The following is a 21,354-nucleotide window of genomic DNA, read 5'->3' on the forward strand; positions in this document are numbered from 1 at the left end:
CTCCTTACTCTCCTGATATACTTTGGACTGGGCATTATTTGGCTAAAAGGAGTATCTGTGGCAGCTTTTATAAACAACAAAAGCATGACCAGCAAGAAAAGCAGTTCATGGAAGGCAGAGGCTGGGAGTGAGAGATTCACTTAGCTGCAGTACTTATATTAATCATTACTAGTATATGCTAAGTATCTGACATTGTGATAAGTGCATTTTATGTGACCTTTAATCTTCATAACCATTTTATGTCCTAGGAATTATTATATCAATTTTGTAGATGAAGAAATGGAAATTCACAAAGCTTAAGCAACTTGAGGTGTTTAATAGTGAGTAATATGGAGGTGGGATTTGAACCTATATCTGACTGATGAGATCTGTGCTTCTGACCGTTTTACTCTACTATCAATAGCAATTGGCTTTCATCTCCTCTAGACAGTAAGTACGTTTCTCTAGGATAAAGACCCTGGCCCATTCATCTCAATGTCTAATCATAGTGTCTGGTTGAATGAAATTAAATCCTCCTTCACAAAACCCTGAGGCATTCATTGGCATGGAACTGCATGTCACCACATCCAAAAACAGCTCTGAGGAAATACTCAGAAAATTTATCTGGAGGAAAAGAAGGATAAAAATCATGGTCAATGGAAACGTGGGCAAGAACTGTTTCTGCAGACCATGATGTTGTCACTAGTCTGCTATGCTCCAGCATTCTAGTGAACATGAACTGTCAAGAACCATCAAGAACCAGAGAAAGAGTATATAAACCCCATGAATTTACCTGAAAAGCACGGGGACTTTTCCTCTTCATGAGCAGGTTCTGTTTTATTCTTCCTTTCTTCATGCGGTGGACCTGGTTGCAGGATTTTTATTAGACTTTTTCAATTCAGAATTTTAGGTCAAGAACTCAAATGTCAACATTGAGGATTGTTTTCTCGTAAGTGATAGCTGCTCTATTACAGTCTCTAAAAATAATGTTTCGCCTCAGAATCTGACATCCGCTGTTTCTTTTTAAATTTTATCTTATCACGGGCTCTCTGGCTCAAGCTGTCCACCAGAGAAGTGAAAGGCCAGAGGGGCCTTGCAGTACCCCCACCTCTCCTTCAGGCAACTCAGACCGAGTGTAGTCTAAGAGCCCTGTTGACTCTGCCCTCTCTCCAGAGAGAATAGTCCATTCACGAATGGCTCCATCACTCAGTGCGTATGTGACACAACGCAGATCAAAGGGCGTCACAGCACCCAGAGAGTCTGGGTTGGCCCTGCTCACAGGATGTGGCTAGTCACTGCTGGAGGTGAGGACAAGGCCTGGGCTCTGTCCAGAAGGCACACAATAGCTGAGTTTCAAAGTTTCTTCTTTTTTCTTTTGATTGAGAAATGAATCCCCCAACCCTGATGACAGAACAGTGCCCCATTTGAAGGGCTAGGGGTAAGTCACTATATTAGATTTCTGAGTCTTGCAGCATTTTGAGAACACAACATAGACTACTTGTTGTTTGCTTTTAGATCAGAGAACAAATGCATTGTTTATGTAGTTTCTGTGCTCAGGGATATGGGATCACTGGCATGAGTGAAATACACAAAACTTATTGGAGTGGGCAGTTTCAACTTCCTTCCCCATCAAATCTTTCTAAGAGTTGCCAAAAGGCAAGTGGTTTCTAGGAACTGGAAGTGCTGGTGAGAAGTACAGTGGCTAAAAGAGGGCCCGCATAACAGAAGGGGAGAATCACAGATCCCCACGGGAGCAGAGTCTCAGTCCTCCTGTACTTGGCTATTCAAAGTGTTGGCTATGGACCAGCACATCTGAAGCCCCAGAGCTTTTTAGGAATGCAGGATCTCAGGCCCCACATCAGACCTACCAAAGCAGAATCTTTATTTTAACAAGATGCCCGGGTGATTTCTGTGGATGTTACAATCTGGGAAATATGGTTCCCAACTCAAAACAAGATACCACACATGCTACAGCTATTGTCTGCTGGCAGAGAAGAAAGATAGCTAAAGTCATTAATATAGTTCTTAAACTTTTGTTATTTAGGTGAATTATTTGTTTATTTAAAGTAAAATGGCCTGCTTTCTCTGAAATCATTTGTCTTGCCTCTCAGTAAATTGCTGTTTTAAATTCACAGGCTTCCTTACTTTCTACTTGCATGACAGTTCTCAGAATGAATTAAGGATCAGTCAATTTTTTTTTTTTTTTTTTTTAGCTATTAATACCTGTAAACAGTTCAATCTGACATTAGAAAATACTGACTGTTGCTGTTATCTGCCCAGGTGCCTATTTCTCCTTCATTTGGTAATGGCACCTTCCTCGTCAGAAGCCAGCAGGCTGGTGGAGCTGTCTCATATAGTCCTCTCTCCTCCGATGGCCCCTCCAAAGTGAGGTTAACTGGACACCCTCTGATGAAGCTCATTTGCTCTAGCATGCTAGCTGAAAGGACCATTTCCTGCCTCAATCCCAGAGCTTCTGGATCACCATCCTGCCCAAGACCTGGCTCTTCAGCTTTTCCTTTATGCTAGCCTATATCCAGTCTTTTTCAGTTTTGAGACAGGATCTCCTTCTCTCACCCAGGCTGGAGGGCAGTGGCACCATCACAGCTCACTGCAACCTCCACTTCCTTGGCTCAATGGATCCCACCTCAGCCTCTTGAATAGCTGGGACTACAGGTACACGCTGCCACGCTTGGCTAATTTTTGTATTTTCTATTTTTTTTGATAGAGATGAGGTTTTACTATGTTAGGCTTGTCTCTAACTCCTGGCCTCAAGAGATCCGTCCACCTTGGCAGCCCAAAGTGCTGCGATCACAGGTGTGAGCCACCATGCCTGGCCAATATTTTTCATTTTTATTTGCCTAAGGCAACCAGGATCTCTTTCTGTTGATTCAAACCAAAGAATCGTAGCTGAGCAAAGGAATCGAAATATAGTTCATGTTGTGGAAAAATACCAATTTTGTTCTTAAGGCGTAGAGGGAGGGCACTTTTGAATCACTACAACTTTACACTTTGTTATTGTTCCAATTTTATTTACAGGTTTTCTCCCTTGCCTTGAGGTACTTTATTGTAATATGTATATATCTGTGAAAAGACTAATATTGATTAATAATCATCAGAATATAGGTAGCCTACTTTCGTGGCAACTTCAAACTTAACTTTGGTGTGGTTTTATTTTAGCTTTTAAACCTAGGACTTAGGTCTTCAGGTGCTCTTAGAACATTCAAGTGGGTTGAAAATTGGCCCCAAATCAAATAGAACACATGAATGAATAACTTATCAATCTATCATATGGAAAATAGCAATGTTAATACAGGCTAATCCACTTAATGACTGTCAAAAGATATTACTTGACAGGTTTTTAGTTTTATTATTCATAGAGTGGCATAAAAATTCACACATCTTTCCCGTAAATGTGTTTCTTTATTTTTTATTAGTGAATGTAAAGGACTGAAGCTGATGTAAATTTGCTAAATGAATAAATAATACTGCCTTATAAAAAATAAATTGAATCAAGCCTCAAGAACAACTAACATATAGCTCCTATCCTATTTTCAAAATGCTTTTGGAAAAGGATGGCAATGGATTCTGGTGAAACACTGGCTGATTTAATATCCTGTATCATCAGTACTCTTCAGCCATTAAACAATATCATAAATTAATATTTATTGGACATGTTTCATAATAGATAAATAATAAAGGGTATATATCATGTGATCACATTTTATAATCCGTTATTTATAATAATGTTACATATAAGTGAAAGTATTCCAATGTCATATAGTTATCTCTGAGTAGTTTTGCTTTATTTTATTTTATTGACTTGTTTATTTCATTCTAGTGATATGTATTTTATGATTATCAAATACATTTTGCTTTTATAACATGAAAAAAGGAAAAGGCTATTTTTGGTTCAAAATAAGGACTCAGTGGGCTTTGTGCATCAATTAATATGAGAAGATATGTTAAAGTTTAGATATCCAGACTATACCATGTTGTACCATGCAGAGTAGTATAGAAAAACTAAATTTCCCTAAGAATGTGGGAAAAGTCTTACTAGCTTTTATTTTTAATTAACCAAATTCAATGGAACTTAAATTAAGAAAACGTTTCTGTAACAGTTCTGTTTGATTTTGTGAAGAGATCTTACAGTTGGAGATTTTTTTCTAAAAGGATAAATTAAACTTTGTGTTACAACAGACATTTCTGCTTTCTAGACCAGAGCTTCTCAAATGTTAATGTGCAGACGAATCCCCTGGGGATCTTGTGAAATTACAGATGGGTCTGAGGTGAAGCCTGAGATTCTCTGTTTCCATCATGCTTGGAGGTGAAGCCAGCTGCTGCTGATTCATGGGCCATGCTTTGAGAGGCAAGGGTCTCTAGACAGAAGTTGTCATTCCTAATGACTTTGTAAATCACTCTGAGCCATGGAAAAATAAACAATCGGTGAGCAAAAGCTTTTACAGCCCAGGGTAGAAATCTGGGAGGATCCGAGCCTTCTGGGTCTGAAGCTTGAATGTGTCATCAGAGTGGGACTGGGGTCGGAGATCTAGGAGCAAGAGTGAGGCATGGGATGTTGGATCAAAACAGGGAAGTGGGCCGAGGAAGGACCACAGGAGGAGCAAGGCCATGTCACTGATGTTGCTGTGTCCTGCAATATGATTTGGCATCTTACATTTCTGAAGCTGCCATTGCAGGGTTCCTTCAGTCAGTGGATTAGAAGGAGCTAGAGGTTGGCAACCTTTGGTGAGGAGAAGTTAGGAGAATGGTGGGTCGTGAGCACTGGGGGAGGGAGGGAGAAGATGGGGGTGAGCTCTGAGTGTTGGTTCTGACTCATGAGCAAAGGTGGGCATGGGGTGGAGGGAGAAAGCGCACATGCAACAATTTGGGACCCTTGACCTCTGATGTGTCTGAGGGCAGCCCACGTGTCTCTGAAAATCTGCCTGTGAGATGACCGATACCCTGGATTAAACCACAGCTCTGTGGACCCCTTTAAGCACTTGTAAACAGCTCCAGAAGGATTAGTACCTTCTATTCTCAAAACAGGATTCAAATAAATGTAATACACAGCTGCTGGGGTAGCCAAGAGCCTTGGGCTCCTGGATTGAGGCTGTGTAAGGGTAAGTGAGGCAGGAGCTATTAGATCACATTTCCTGACTGACTTGCATTCTGAACTGGAAAGACAGTCTCACAGGAAAAAATTAATTTGCCTCCAAGATAAAAAAAAAAGTCACCACGAAAGATTAGAGACAATTTTGAAACTGTATTTAATAACCATGACAATTTATGGCAAGATAAAAACGCCCAAACCATAAAGTGCAAATACCAGGTCAGACACAGGGTTTCTGTAGGCCAAAAAAAATCATGTAAGTTAGGCCCAGATTCATTGAAAAGGAAGGAGACAGCTCTTAGGCTGCAGATTTATCCTAAGGTCAATGTTTACTTTAAAAATCTGTGATAATTTGTTCCACCCAGAGGTGGTTTTTGTTTTATGTTCCACATCTTAATCATTTGTTTAGCAGCCTTGTTTTATGTTTGTTTAGTTAGAACCTTCTGGTGTGGAGCAAGGATCATTAAAAAGTATAATTAGCTGTAATTACTTAATACTAGAACAGAAACTGCTTTTACTTTAGATGTGTGAGCTGATCCCCCAGGCAGCGTTGGTGATCCTGCTTTGAGTCTAGGAGCATTTCCATTCACAGCTGAGTCCTTATCAGCAGAAGTGTATAGAGCCACCGGATAATATCTCACTCACAAAACGTGAACCATTTGCCTATGAAAATGAGAGCTAAAAAACCAGAGAACTGAATATGAAACTTTTTCTTTTATTGTTAGGTATATAGTTCAACAAGTCTACCTACTAAAAAGGGAATATGTTAGCTAGAGTAGTGTAAAGGAGAGAAGATAATTGGTCAAATAATCTTGTTCTTCTATCACGTGTCCACTGCTGGAGAACTCCTGCCACGATGACGAGGCAGGGCTGGAGTGGGAGCTGAGTCCTGCAGGCTGAGAGGCAACCACAGAGAGCCACGCCTTCAGGCAGCATGTAGGATACCCTCTTCGTGTTTCACTCACTGGTAGTGACCTGCTTTTGGTACATCTGGAGATTTCAAACTTCAAAACCTTATAACCTACACTTTAATTCTGGGGAACTGCTGGCTAAAGTTTGTGGTTAAGCAACCTTGGTTCATTTCTTGACTCCTTCATTCATTAATTATTATGATCTTGAGAAAATGACAGTTTCTCTGTGCCTCAGTTTTCTTAATTGTGAAATGGGAATAATAGAAGTACTTGTCTCCTAGGATTGTGGGAAGAATTATAAAATGAATACTTGCAAAGTATTTAAAACAGTGCCTGATACATAGCAAGTACTCAATAGATAATAACAGAAATTATATTATTACTATTCTTTAGCTGTATACTCTTGGGCAAGTTGCTTTGTTTCTCTGATGTTGTCCTTCAGACGAGATTGGGAGCGTTGAGGGTGGTATGACTGTAGACTGAAGTTGTCCTTCACGTGTACAATGAAAATAATAGTACCTATCGTGAATTTATCATGATCATAAAAGGACCGTTGCTGAGACAGATGCTCAGACTATAGAAAACCGGAGCTCAAATGCTGCTAGACAAAGATGGGAATATCCTCGGTGCCTGCATAGCTATTTACATTTGCATGGGAGCAGAGGCTTCTTAGGGAAAGGCACTAGGGTTCAGACCCTTTCCTTTGTTTGACGGTTGGAGGGAGCAATGATCAAGGCTGGATTGTGAAAGTAGGGGAGCAAGGAAACCCTCTAGAAGAAACTCACTTTGAGCGCCAGGACCAAAGCTGACCTCTGCCTCCAGGCCAGGGTGTGGCTGGATCCTGTGGGGTCAGAACTCATCCTGTCTGGGCCTGGCTGTGAGTGAATCACAAGTCCAGGCCCTTTGGGTGTGGCCTTACATGGACTGTCACTCAGTTTGGGCTGCCATAACAGAATACTATGGACCAAGTGACATCAACAACAAATACCCATTCCTTACCGTTCTAGAAGCTGGACGTCCAAGATCAGGATGCCAGCATGGCTGAGTTCTTGGGAAGGGCGCTCTTTGTTATGTCCTCATATGGCCTTTCTTGGTGCATGTATGTATGTCGAGAGGGAAGATGGGAGAGGGAGCTCTAACCTGTTTCTCTTCTCACAGGGACGCTAATCCTATCATGGGGGCCCCACCCTCATGACCTCATTTAACTCTCAAAAGCCCCACCTCTGAAACCATCCCACTGGGGGTTGGGGTTTTAACATAAATTTTGGGGAGACACAATTATATAGTCTGTAACACGGACTGAGTTATAACCCTGTAGTCAGGATACTCCATTCCTTTGCCTAGAGATGCTTGTAAGCCCTAGGTGAATTGTTACACTTGTCCTGAGGGCAGGGCAGTGGACAAGTCACATGGCTTATCAGTGATGAGGCTTGGGGGGTGCCATCCACCCAGCCAGCCAGGACATTGGTGTCTGGATTTTAGCCACAGTGAAAAACAAGGGTGAATTGCTTAATGGCTGCAATGCTGGGCAACTGACCAACTTCATTCATGACTTAAAAAAAAAAAAAAAATAAGGGCCGGGCACAGTGGCTCACGCCTGTAATCCCAGCACTTCTGTAGGCCAAGCCGAGGCAGGCGGATCATGAGGTCAGGAGTTTGAGACCAGCCTGACCAACATGGTGAAACCCTGTCTCTAATAAAAATACAAAAGTTAGCCAGTTATGGTGGTGTGCGCCTGTAATCACAGCTATTCAGGAGGCTGAGGCAGGAGAATTGCTGCCGAGACTGTGCCATTGCACTCCAGCCTGGGCGACAGAGTGAGACTCCTTCTCAAAAAAAAAAAAAAAAAGTTGTTTTGCCAGTAAAATGCATAAAATATGCCTATTGCTCAATAAATTGTCACAAAGTTAACCTCATGTAATCACCACTTAGATCAAGAAATAGAATACAGTATTGCCAAAGTGCTACTTCAGAATCACCTCTGTGCCTTCTAAGTGTAAGCAATATCTTGACTTTTAGATAATCCTTCATTGCTTACCCATATAGTTTTACCACTTAAGATGGCATCTTCAAACAGAGTTTAGCTGCTTATTTTGCTCAACAGTTTTGAAGATTCATTTATATTGTTGCTTCTAGCTGAAGTTTATTCATGTTCTTTGTTGTGTGGGATTTTACTGTGTGACTATACTGTAGTTTAAGATTTGTATCCATTCTAGTGATGATGGACATTTACATTTTTCTAGTTTTTGGCATTCATGAATAATATTGCTGTAAACATTCTTTTACATGTTTCCTGGTGAACATATATGTGCATTTGGTTGGGTTGATACCTCAGAATTTACTTGTTAGATCATACATAAAGTATCTCTATTTTCTACTTTAATGAATTATGCCAAATTATTTTCCAAAGTGGTTGTGCCAATTTACACTCCCATCAGGAGTGGTTAAGAGTTTTAATTGCTCCACATTCTAACTGACGCAATCTTTAAATTTTATTCATTTGAGTAGGTAGGTGTACACTACTTTTGCTTGTGTTTTTTAAAAATAATAGCTTTAATAAGATACTGTTTCCATGCCATACAATTCACGCATTTAAAATGTACAACTCTTTAGCATGTTAGTTTTTATCATATCCACAGAATTGTGTAATCATCACTTACTGCTTATAATTTTTATTTTTCTGACTCCTAATGATGAGAACCTCTTCCCATGTGTATAGATCATTTGGATTTCTTCTTATGTGATGTGTCTTTTAAAGTCTTTGGCTCATTTTTCTATTGGATTGTCCATCATTTTTTATTGTTTCATAAGAGTTTTTAAAAAATATTCTGCATATGAGCCTTTCTTCTACTTGTATTATAGCTTTTTACTCATTTAATAATACTGTCTGATAAGCAGAAGTTTTCATTTTTGTGGCAGTTAAACATTATTTTTCCTTTATGGTGAGAACCTTTTTGTGTTTTGTTTAAGAAATACTGTATTCTCTTGACTCAGGTCGTGAAGTTACATATAATCTCCTATGTTATCTTCTAGGAAGTTTGTTGTTTTGCCTTTCAGGTTTGTTTAGATCTGTGGTTCATTTGGAGGTAATTTTAATGTGTGGTGTGAGTTAGGGATGTCAACATCATCTATGTCCCACTGCTTGGCAGTGCCATCTTTGGCATAATTCAGTATCAGTTTATGCATGGGTCTGTTTTAAGGCTTTGTTTCTTATTCCATCAATACAATAGTACATCTTTGTGCCAGTACCACATTGTTTTAATCATTGTAACTTTAGATGTGATTTGATATTTTATATCTGTCTAGGCAAGTCATCCTACCTTTTCTTATTTTTCCTTTTCATTCAAGAGCGTATCGGCTATTCTTAACTCTTTGCATTTTCCTGTAAATTTTAAAACCAAGTCCCACAAAATATGTTTGAATTTTGACTTTCTGTATCCATCTTTTTTTCTTTCTGTTTTTTACTAAGTGAATCCCAAAAAGATTATTTCTTCTTACTTAGTGAGTGACAATATGCCCGGTCTACCAAGTTCAGGTGCACTCTAGAAATGATGGCTGTAACAGAAGTCTGGCATTGGTTTTTGTAGGAACTAGCCTTTGGGCCAGCAGTTGTCCAGGCTTGAAAGCCATCTGCTCTTTATAATTTAGGGTACCAGGGTATACACCTTGAAGCTGAGGAAATCCAATCATTTTGGTTCCATGATGACTGAAGGAATGAAGCCCCAAACAATACCAAGTCACAGAAGATGCTCAGTAAATAACTGACCTCCTTCCATTCCTTGGCTTTGCCTTAACCACCTGTAAGGCTGTGCTTGACTAAGCACACAGCTGAACCAGGCCATAAATGTTGGGCCACATGCTACAACAGCAGTAGACCAATGGCTTTGGAGTTTGTGATCAGGGAAAGGAAATTCTTTTGGCTCTGCCATGTTGTCCATGATGCCAAGGAGACAAAGCTGTGAACACCACCAGAACAAATGTCTATTGACTGTGCCCTGCATTATCTTTACTGTTTCTGGGCAAATTCTGAAAATATCCCCAAAGCAATAATCATTTTGGTGTCTCTGGTTTCTATCTCGTTTTCTTTTCTTTTTTTTCTTTCTTTTTCTTTATATTATTATTTTTTAATGAAGTCAACTTCTCAAACAAAACAACAAAACTCCAACACTGAATTATGCCTGGTTTTGCTGTCAGACCCTTGTCCGAGCCATGCACTTGGAAACAGTCATCAAGCTGCGAAGCTGCGTGTTATCCTAACTCCCCTTTGTTAACAGCTTCGTGTTGGCCCCTCTCCAGTTGCTGCCGCCAGCAGAGTGTCTCTGTTTTCAGACCATGTCATCCGGGACTTGCCAGCCTTCAGAGACATCATCTTCTCTGGTTATTGGAGACTTTGAAGGAACACTTTTCCTTTTGTTTTTCAAGACAGTAACTGTGGATATGATGTGAGAGGTTGACAGTAGTGATACCTTTGGTTTCTGTAGATGAAGGTTTTTTTTTTTTTTTTTAGGTTTATTGAAACAAATGAGAATCTGTCAGCAGAAATGTCCTTTAAAATCACCCTTACTTTTGAAGAGTCACATAGAAGAGTTAAGATATGGCTACTTTCCAACTGGTCTCCCGGGGAGGGTTTGGAGCAGTTAGAGGGTCCTGTGAAAGCAGAATGACATGAATCAAAATAAAACCAAACATACAAATGACACATTAAATAGTAGCCATGGGCTACCTTTCCTTTTCTGATTTCTCTGGTTAGAAACTAAATGCAGGAAAGAGATAAGTATCTGGAGACAGTGCTTGAGGTGTGCTTCCCATCAGAGAACCAAGGAATTTTCACTTTTTGGCTTTCTTTCTGGGACTCCCATATCAGGATCAAGAGACGAGTTGGTTCCTATAGTGGTTTCCAGTTTGCTGTGAGTGGTGAGAGTTCAGAGAACTTCGGCAGTGTGCTAGACTTGACTTTGCAGCACAGACACCCTCTTCTCTTCTTGTCTTTCATTTTGCCCCCTCCCATATACCTGGTACTCTCACACATTTCTCTTTCTCCAAACTTGAATAAAAATGACTCTCAGATTTTACATTCATCCTAAGGGAGAAATATTTGCAAAATCAGATGGACTCATGAGATCAGAAACCTGAAATGAAGAAATAAAACTCCATAGGCAGAATTCCAGGAATCATCCCGTTAGTGGGAGGGTTTTGAGTGGTTTTCTCTCCTTCCCTCTCTTTTCTTCTGCCTTTCTTTCATATCAAAAAGTCACAGACCTACTGCTTATTCTCCAGAAATGTACATCTAGTTAATGACACCATCCTACATAAACCAAATGTGAGCAATAATGACAATATAATAGCACCATGTATTCAGCATTTACTGAAACAATGTGCCAAGCAACTTAAATATGTCATCTCATTTAATTCTGAAAATAACAATTCTGTGATGTCAGTAGTAGTATTCACCATATTTTTACAGATGGGGAAACTGAGGTTTAGAGAGATTAAGAGCTTGCCTAACAGCACACACTTACCAAGTGAAGAGTCAGACTGGTCTGACTCCCAGCCACTACGCCATTCGCTGTGCCTGGCAGGCCACAGTGATTTTGATTGTAGGAGAATGAAAGAAAAGGTCAGTGAGGAAGGCTTTTCGGAGTTGGTGGGACCTGAGCTGGTCATGAAGAACATGTGGAAGAAGGGAGCAAGTGAGTGTCATGTATGGCCTTCTTACGCCCTCAACTCTGATCAGTTCTTTCCTTCAGAAGTAACAGTTCTTCTCCTCCCACACGTGAGCCTTTGGATGCAGTAGTTTTCCACTCTCAGTGAAAACTGGTTATCATTAATCACTGTATGCAGCCCTGTTTCCTTGGGGGGGTGGGGGTGCTTCTTTTGGATGCTGATAAATCTTTCTAATTAGCTGTAAAAATCATGAAAAAGTCGACATCGTGTTTTAATCATAAACCACTTGGGCCATTGGCATTCATGTCCTGGCTTGAATTCTTTTTATTTTTTTTTTTTGTTTACCAAATTGCTTTGAGTTTATGACATTTTTAGTAGATCTCCTGTAAGTCCACAGAGCTTGGGATTATAAAAGCTATAAATTGTTTTCAGTAACTCAATCAGAGAAAAGCAAAGCAAAAACAAAAACAAAAGGCATTGACACATTGTCAGTGATTTATTTTCCCATGTGTTGGTGGAATATTAAAGATCTTTGAGATCTTTTTAGATAATTCAGTGCAGGCCTGGTTCTAAGAATATAAGCTGGCACGATGATCAGCGAGAGAGTAAATGGGTTTGCTTTGCTTTTTTTTTTTTTTTTCTCTCAGGAGCTAAAGTGAACTCTTCCAAGAATCGGGAAGAAGAATGTGGGATTAGAAGTCACACTACAATTGTCCTTTAGTGTTGAATTGTAGTGTCAGAACAGTTTCAGAAAATAAATCTCAGCTAAAATCTCCTCCATGTCATGGTATATCAATGATACTCAAACTTTAACATGGATCAGAATCATCTCGAGAGTTCTTTACAACACAGATAGCTATGCCCCAGCTCAGAGTATCAGAGTTAGTAGGTCTTGGATGGAGCCAGAGATTTGCATTTCTGACAACTTCTCAGATGATGCTGATGCTGCTGCCACCAAATTTTGAGGGTCTGACTTCAATCTGAGCTCAGTGCTAACTAGCTGTGTGACTGAGCACTTCATGGCTCTGTCTCCTTGAATCACTTGCACCTAGTTCAGAGCAGGTTTAGAAACCACTGAGAGCCACTGTGATATAGTTAACAGCATCTACTAGGATCCCAGCTGACAAAAATATTTACTCACTGTTCCTTCCAGTTTGAGTAGGATTTGCTTTTCCTGAAAAATTGGTGGGCATTTTCTATTTCTAGGGAGCTCTGAAGTTGAACTAATGCTGCCCTTTAGCATAAGGTCATAGAACACATGCTTCTGAGTCTGATCCTCATATGAATGTAAAAGCCCCAACATTGAGCACAGCATATTGTGGTTTGATATTTTCTTTCAACACTTGTATTATGAAAGGAAATCGGTGTTATTTCTGCAAATCCCATGCTTGTGTTCTTATCTTTGTGGATTCCACGGCACCTAACAGAATGTCTTGAGTATGGTAGGTGTTCAAAAAATGCTTACTGAGTTGAAAATTACAACTTAAACTTGATACCAAGAGCTCGTCTGTAAAATAGCATATATTGAGTATATAAAAATAATCAGAACAATTACATTTTATATGTGTATCTTAGTTCAGTTCAGGCTGCTATAACAATATCACATACTGGGTAGCTTAAATAACACAAATTTATTTCTCACAGTTCTGGAGGCTGGAAAGTCCAAGATCTAGGTGCCAGCAGATCTGGTTTATGGTGACAACCTTCTTCCTGGCTTGCAGATGTGTCTTATTGTATCCTCACATGGCAGAGAGCAGAGATCCTCTCTCTTATGTTTCTTCTTATAAGGACACTAATTCCATTCATGAATGTTCCACCCTCATGATCTAATTACCTCCCAAAGACCCTCACCTTCAAAACCATCACAGTTGGAATTCAGACTTCAACATATGGATTTTGGTTGGGGGACACAAACATTCGGTCCATAGCAGTGTGTCTTAGGATTTCAACAGAGTTGGAAAACAAATATTTGTCTTCTTTAATCTTCACAAAAGTTACATGAAATGATGCAATCTTTGGGATTCAGATTATGGAAGATCCTACTTGAATTTTAGTGATCCCCTGACCAAGATTTCTAGGAGCAACTTTCTAGCACTATGCCTCTGTGAAAGGCATTTTCCCTGTAGTTATCAATGGCCGGGTGTCAAATGCAATTGGAAATGCAGCTTTATATTATAGCAGATACACTGTGGGCCCAAGTTGAGTACCACTACAGATGGAGCATTGTCCACTCTGAGCCCAGGAGAATGAGTGCACTCCTACAGTCTCTGCTCTCCTTATGACTACTACAATGAGAGACTACCAAAAAGAGAGAGACTATTGAACTCTTTTCTCTTGGAAAATACAGTCTAAATCATTGAATGCAGCACGCCAAATACATATTGATAATTCCATTTTTAATTTTTAAGTGTCAGGGAAAATTACTTTTTTTTTTAACTTAATGGAGTCCGTTAATGGGAAATTATGTGTGACCCACTCTTGTTATCCATTCTCAAACGGATATTTAAATCACAGTCACAACATGAGACCACTTTGGAATAGTTACTTACCTAGTAATCAAACAATTCATGTGACATGAATATAAAATTGTTCCTAGTTTTTTTTTTAGTCCTCTATTACAGTCAGTGGATATCAAAAAGTTGACTAGTTATATACTAAGCCAAGATACTTTTGTGATTCTTAAAAGTATGTTATATTATTTTTCAGTGTCTTAGGGAGGACTCTGTTTATTAGTCTGTTCTCACGCTGCGAATAAAGACATACCCAAGACTGGGTAATTTATAAAGGAAATATGTTTAGTTGACTCACAGTTCAGCATGGCTGGGGAGGCCTCAAAAACTTACAGTCATGGCAGAAGGGGAAGCAACACCTCCTTCTTCACATGGCAGCAGCAAGGAGAAGCGCCCAGCAAAGGGGGTAAAGCCCCTTATAAAACCATCAAATCTCGTGAGAACTCACTGTCATGAGAACAGCATGAGGGTAACTGCCTCCAAGATTAAATGACCTCCCACCAGGTCCCTCCCATGACACGTGGGGATTATGGAAACTACAGTTCCAGATGAGATCTGAGTGGGGGCGTAGCCAAACCATATCACTCCAGGAGATTCTTTTGGATATTAATATTAGGAATATCAGTATTTCTCCTTAACAAATAATTTAATAGTGAACAATATGAAACACGGAGGACAATGCCGAGGTATTGTTTCCCTCAGGGATGCCTTCTCCAACTCCTGTATGTGTCTCTGTGTTTAATGCTCTCAAAGCACTTCTTATTACCCATAACCGCTGGATAGCATTGGACTGAAGCTTTCTTAAGCACAGGGCACAGGTTTTGTTTCTTCTGACAGGAGCATGATATTTGTTGAATAAATAAGTTATATCTAGACTTTTCTCATCAAGGTAGACTTCTTGGGGTAGGTGTGGAAATATCTAAGCTCAAATATTTTAAATACCACCTAGAGCTAAGAAAAATTACCAAGAAGGCCATTCAAATGGAGAGAAAAGACACTAGGGCCTAGGAGTTAGCTTTTTATTATTTTTGCTAGTTAGGCCATGGGCAATGTCTGTTTTTCTACATTCTTAGTGTAAAATATCTTTGTCACGCTTTTTTTCTTAAGAATTTTTTTATGTGTTATTTTCCTCAATCAGACAGAATGTGCATCCAAAATGACAAAGTCTCAATTTTTTATTTCAATGAAACCTATGTAAATAGTAACTTACTTAATTCACCAGAATCCTCAGTGAACTGGATCCTGCCTGCATCAGACTTTAGGGAAAAAAAGGAAATAAAAAGAACAAATAATTAAACAATTATTTTCAAGACTAGCTGTCAGAAAAAAATCTAAAAGTCAGTATTCATTCAGTTCATTTTTTAATTTATTGAAGTATATAAAAATAATTGATTTTCATGATTGTCTTCCGTCTGCACAATTTTTATTAATTTTTTAAAAATAATAGTTGATAATACATTTTAGAAAAGTTCTCATAAGACCTCAAAAAATCATTTTAACATAAGCTGAACATCCTTTTCAGGGTGTCGAGTTTCTGCTATTGTGTTCTAAATGCCAATTAAGTGCTCTGTGTAAGAAAAACACATATTGTCTGCAAATTAATCAGGAAGACACATGCAGGATACCTTGAAACAACTGCTTTTCACTCTCTTATTAAAGGAAAGTGTCAATGTAAAGAAGTCTTTACATTGAAATAACTATGTGAGATCCATAAATAAGGTTTTATTTAACTGCTAGTTCTTATTGCTCTGCAGGGGCTGTGAAATGGCTTGGATTTGTGTCCCCACCCCAATCTCATGTTGAATTGTAATCCCAAGTGTTGGAGGAGGGGCCTGGTGGGAGGTGATTGGATCATGGGGACGGATTTCCCCCTTGCTATTCTCGTGATAGTGAGTTCTCATGAGATCCGATTGTTTAAAAGTGTGTAGCAGCCTCCCTCCCCCACTTATCTCTCTTCCCCCTGCTCCAGCCACGTGGTGCTTGCCTGCTTCCCCTTTGCCTTCCTCCATGATTGTAAGTTTCCTGAGGCCTCCCCAGTCATGCTTCCTGTACAGCCTGTGGAACCATGAGCCAATTAAACCTCTTTTCTTTATAAATTATGCAGTCTCAGGTAGATCTTTATAGTAATGTGAGAATGGACTGATACAGGCTGCTGAGAAATGGTAATATTGTAGTGAAGGTAATTACCTCTAGCTGCTGCAACAGACAAATCCCCAAGTTTCCCACTCAAATAAAGTTTATTTTTTGCTCATGTGGGTCCAGTTTGTCCATCCATCTGGACCATAGATTCTCCAAGGTCATGGTTGCAAAGGAGAGGGAAGGTGGAAAAGGCACATGGCCTTTTAACTGCCTTAGCCCAGAAGTGACATGTGTCACTGTGGTTCAGCATATTTGGCCAGATCTAATCACAGGGCCCCAAGGAACTGCAGGGGAGGCTGGGAAATGTATTTTATGAGTATGCATATGGTTAGTGAACATTAACTGCTTCTGCCACTATATTTTTGTCAACTAGAATTGTATGCATCCCCTTTTTCTACTTAGTGTGCTATTAAGGTTAGTAGGTTGTGGGGGGTTGGGGGTGGGAGGTAGGGAGAAACAGGATACAAGGATATGCATAGTGATGTCTTCTATCTTTTCTAGTAGCAGAACCCACATTTCCTTATGAGAACTGTCTGTCTTCCAATTACAGCTCTTATAGTCTGGCTTGACTGTTCCCTGGGCTGGGCATGTGCCCTATACCTGACCAACCAGAGATCATTGTAGGACAGAAGGGCGGGGCCATATCTGCCTATGTGACAATAATTGTGCCCATATAATGCCATCAGTGAATGTGTCCTTTGGAAAATGAAGCCAAATCAAGAGACCATTGAGCCAAGAGAAAAGAGATAATTTGGATGGCATTGATAGATAGAACCTTTGGATCAAGCACTGCCAGTTCCTATCTTGACTTCCTCAATTATGCCAGCCAGGTATTCCTTTACTTTGAACTAGGTTGAGTTGGATTTCTGCAACTTGCAAATAAAAAAGATGAGCTAGTGGTTTTCACTCCACAAAACTTCAAAACACCATCCTTTCACTCCTTTGTCTCTAAACTCGAATAACTACCCATTGCCTAAAAAAGTACTGATTATAGCCTCTACCTTTACATGGTAGAATTGTTGCTTTTATGGTACAGTTACCATATAAATAAAAAATGTCTAATGTCCTGTGTGTGTCTCTCCTAACCCTAGTTCAACCATTGAAGAGTTTTTTTAATTAGCAGTCAGCTAATTACTACCTGAATTAAAATGGATTTAATTTTGGCAGCTAATCATTTCCACCTGTGAGGAATCAAATAGAAAAAAAGCTTGTAGAATATTAAGGGAGAGACTCCCCTCTATTCTGATCATCTCCACAAAAACCAGACTATTAGTCAATAGAAGGTTTTGCAAATATCAAAAGTCAATCTGAGTAATGTTTTCTCTGGCCATGGCAGCATAAAGACATAGATCCCACAGCCAGATCCAAACTCTGTGGAGTGTTTCAGGGGATTTGGCTCAGTTACCCTATTTAACCCAACACTTCACAAGAAAAGTCTGAAAGAAGATATGCAATAACTTTCTGGTGACCCAAACTATTGCAACCTCAGTCCCTAAATCACATGACATTTGTTTACTTTCTTTCCAATGGGCTGATTAATTATTTGTCTTTATTTAGTGTTCTAAATCAGGAGCCAAAAGAAGTTGGAGCAGCTGGGGCCAATTTTTACATGTAAAACTAACAGAGCAATTTGGCTGTCTGATGCTGAACTGAAGAGTGACTTTCCTTTAACTTTGTCATCACTACAGCATCCAACCTGCCCTGTTCCAGATGTGCAACAACTGGGCTTTGAAAGAGTGTGACTAGAAAATCAAACAAGGCACGTGGACACACAAAGGAGATAAGAGGCTCCAAGAGATCACGTTCCTTTCTTGTGTAATTTCTTTCATCTAATTCTGTCAACATTTACTGGAAACCTCTATCTGGAACACAGATTACCTCAAGTAATCTGCCTGCCTCAGCCTCCCAAAGAACTGGGACTGCAGGCATGAGCCACCACGCCCAGACAATTTATAATCCTAGTGATCATGTTAGAACAACATCTGTTGTCAACCAATCATTGAGTATTTGTTGAGGATATTCTTCGTGCTACATTAAGTGAATGCAGGCAGCATATCAAGTCTCTACCTTTTTCACAACCTAGTTTGGTGAGATAATGTTAGTATAGATTAAGCAATTGTTACTAGTAAAAATCAGTATATTATTAATACTAAGTTGTGTGGCACAGACTAGAACTCTCAGAAAAGAGGCTGCAATCATAAATATGGTGAGAGTCAGAGATCCTTCTGGGCTTTAAAGAAATGCTTAATCATAGACTGTGTACCTATCCCCCTGCTGAACAAGACACATCCTTAGTTTCAAGACAGACTGGGGTTTGGGAATATGGGTAGCTCTGTGCTAATGCATCACCCCACTGAGGAAACAGGGTTTGTATTCTACTTACTGTGGCTTCATTGCATAAATTTTATGCTCATTGGAGAGAATATTTACTCACAATCTAGCCCATCCATTCTTATAAAAGAGACCTCTGAAAGCTAAGAGTCACTTTCCTGAGGGAAATGCAAGACTCTGGGAGAGAGAGGGCACTTTGAGAATGGGAAAATTGCCTGTGAAATCAAATTTAGGCGAAAAGATAGCCCAGCAGCCATATGTAAATCATTCCCTCATGTAGGAACAATGCTGTGCACTTGGTAATTCAATAGAAAACATTAGTCATTTATCATCCTTAATTATCAGTCATCTCTAACTGCATCTGGTTTGCATTTTTTATTAGAAAGGTTTTTTTTTTTTTGAGTTGGACTCAGGCATTTTTTTTCTTCCGTTCCTGATTTCATTTTGTTATTCTTTTTAAAATTCCATCACTAATTCCCATGATGTGAAGAGGTTTCTATTTCATAAGACACAATAAATCAAGCAACGCCTCTGTTGTAACGTCGTCCTTACTGCGCATTTGTCATGGGCCCTGGATTGCTGAGTTTACTCAAGGTTAGAGAGTCAAGCTGCTTTGAGGACACACTTGGCCAGTGCCGTGAGCATGCACGTAGCCCCATCAGAGGAGCCGAAGGTATAAAACTTCCGTCAACTTGAGCGACCACAGCTGCTTCAGAAAAGTCATGGGGCAAAAAGTGACCCTGGGAGATTTTGAAGTTTGAGTGCTCTTGTCCTGGCACTCTGGACAGTGTATGATGGCCACGTCACACTTTTGTAGGAAGAACTCATGGTAACGAGTCATGTTTTTCTCTCATAGGATAATAGTAACAGCGAATATTTATTAAGAATTTTCTGCGTGTTCTGCATTGTGCAACTTTTAAAATACATTGTCACATTCAATTCTCATGATAACCCTTTCGGGGGGAAATAGTATTTATGTCTTTTAGATGAGTAAACTATGGACTTAGAAAGATGTAGTTGCTTGTTAAATTCTCAGCTGGTGAGTCCCTGGACCATAAAGGTAAAATAAATCATAACCCTAAGCCTTCAGGAGGTAGGCCTATGTTACAGTGTCTCCAGAGAGAATCATTTTAAACATGAAAATCCCAGGACAAGATAGCTAAGCTCCTAATTTATTTATTTATTTTTCTACGGTAGGGGATTTATTTTTTTACTGAAGTTATAAGTTTATATGTTTAATTTAAAAATAATGGCTGTATTCAACAATTGGCTCATGAAACTTCTGCAAATTTAACACCATGCTCTTGTGAGCTGGAGTGAGCTGGCATGAGCACACTACTGCCCGTATTTAATGAGGTTGAGATGCCACAGCTTCCAAGGCATGAGGAGGAGGAGGGAATCTGAAGACAGACAAATAGGAATGTTGAAGTGGCTGTATCATGCTAACTGCACACTCATTCCCGACTACATTCCTCTAGAAAGCCCACAAGATATCTTCTTCACTAAGACTTCGATTTTTAAAAATTTTATTTCTTGTTATTTTGTTTTAGTTTAGTAGTACCTTAGGAGGAAGGCAAGGGCTGAAAAACTACCTATTGAGTACTGTGCTCACGACCTGGGTGAAGGAATCATTTGTACTCCAGACCCCAATGACATGCAATCTACCCAAGTAACAAACCTGCACATGTACCTCCAAACCTAAAATAAAAGTTGAAAATGGAAAGAAAAAAAAAAGATTTTGAACTATGCGTTGGTGAAGGGATCACCAGCATCCTTGCAAAGCTCCGTGGTAAGCTAACTATGACCATGGAGGATGTGCCATTGATATGAGGATTCTGATTTCAATAGGGATGGTGGATTCCTGGAGTAGTAAAAGGCCAAGTAGCAGCACTGATCCACCAAACACAAGGTATGCACATTCACTATAAAGAGCAGCAGACATACTAGTGATCAGAAAGCGTTAGATCTTTGGTGGTGGCTAACTACCAGGGTGATTCTAAAAATGAAATAGGTGAGCAGTCTGCTAGTGTATTTTTTTATCTACATAACAGGAAAAAGAAAACCAACTCTAGTTCTGTTTTGTTGTTGTTGTTGTTGTTGTTTTTTTAGAGACAGGGTCTCACTTTGTTACCCAGGCTGGAGTGCAGTGGCGTGATCATAGCTCACTGCAACCTCAAACTCCAGGGCTCAAGTGGTCCTCCCCACTCAGCCTCCTGAATAGCTAGAACTACAGGCATTCAGTTATTTTGCTTTATTTTTTTTTTGTCTTAATGTTTTTTGGTAGAGAAAGGGTCTCACTGTGTTGCCCAGGCTGGTTTCAAACTTCTGGCCTCTCAAAGTGCTGGGAATCAACAGGCATAAACCACCACTCACAGCCTGAAAAACTCTAGTTCTTACAGCCAAAAATCTGACTTAAGTTTCCATAATGGAGAGTCAGGGTCACTCACCAAGTATACTGACCTAAGCTAATTCACAGATTTAGAGCCCCTTGATTGAAGGGGAGTCCAGGTCTCCTTGAGGAAGGATTCTGCATCATTGCTGCGAGTAAATACTATAAATCTTCATCCACGTGTTTTCTCAAAGAGGCCTGTAGCTATTTGTTAGAGTGACTGTGCACTGTGGAAAAGGAAATGCCCAGATATTTCAGTAATTACTAAATACTCTCTCTTAATTATGTTAACTCCTGTGACCTAAACTACTCACGGTAGCCCAC

General features: G+C 39.7%; 1 protein-coding gene across 43 annotated transcripts in view, besides 1 other annotated feature; it reads left to right on the top strand.

Annotated features, from left to right (window-relative positions):
• The window catches only part of TRMT11 (tRNA methyltransferase 11), a 285,804-nt gene that overhangs the window by 72,831 nt on the left and 191,619 nt on the right, over positions 1–21,354 (top strand). For 3 of the 43 annotated variants that reach the window (XR_007059323.1, XR_007059300.1, XR_007059315.1), the window contains 2 exons: positions 249–17,140; positions 17,868–20,358. The exons of 26 other annotated variants lie outside the window; for them this stretch is intronic. The gene's annotated coding sequence lies outside the window, so the exon portion shown is untranslated. Of the gene's footprint in view, positions 1–248; positions 17,141–17,867; positions 20,359–21,354 lie in introns of those variants that run through there. 14 more of the 43 variants (NR_146797.2, XR_007059308.1, NR_146799.2 and 11 more) reach the window with 10 other exon arrangements.
• Positions 15,953–16,247: an enhancer, noted in NCBI's record as "tiled region #12057; K562 Activating DNase matched - State 5:Enh, and HepG2 Activating non-DNase unmatched - State 16:ElonW". NCBI's record gives its function as "activates a minimal TATA promoter and a strong SV40 promoter by Sharpr-MPRA in K562 cells, with weak activation in HepG2 cells {active_cell/tissue: HepG2 | K562}" and the evidence as "EXISTENCE:reporter gene assay evidence [ECO:0000049][PMID:27701403]".

The sequence above is a fragment of the Homo sapiens genome, chromosome 6 (genome assembly GCF_000001405.40).
Source record: "Homo sapiens chromosome 6, GRCh38.p14 Primary Assembly".
Classification (NCBI taxonomy): domain Eukaryota; kingdom Metazoa; phylum Chordata; class Mammalia; order Primates; family Hominidae; genus Homo; species Homo sapiens.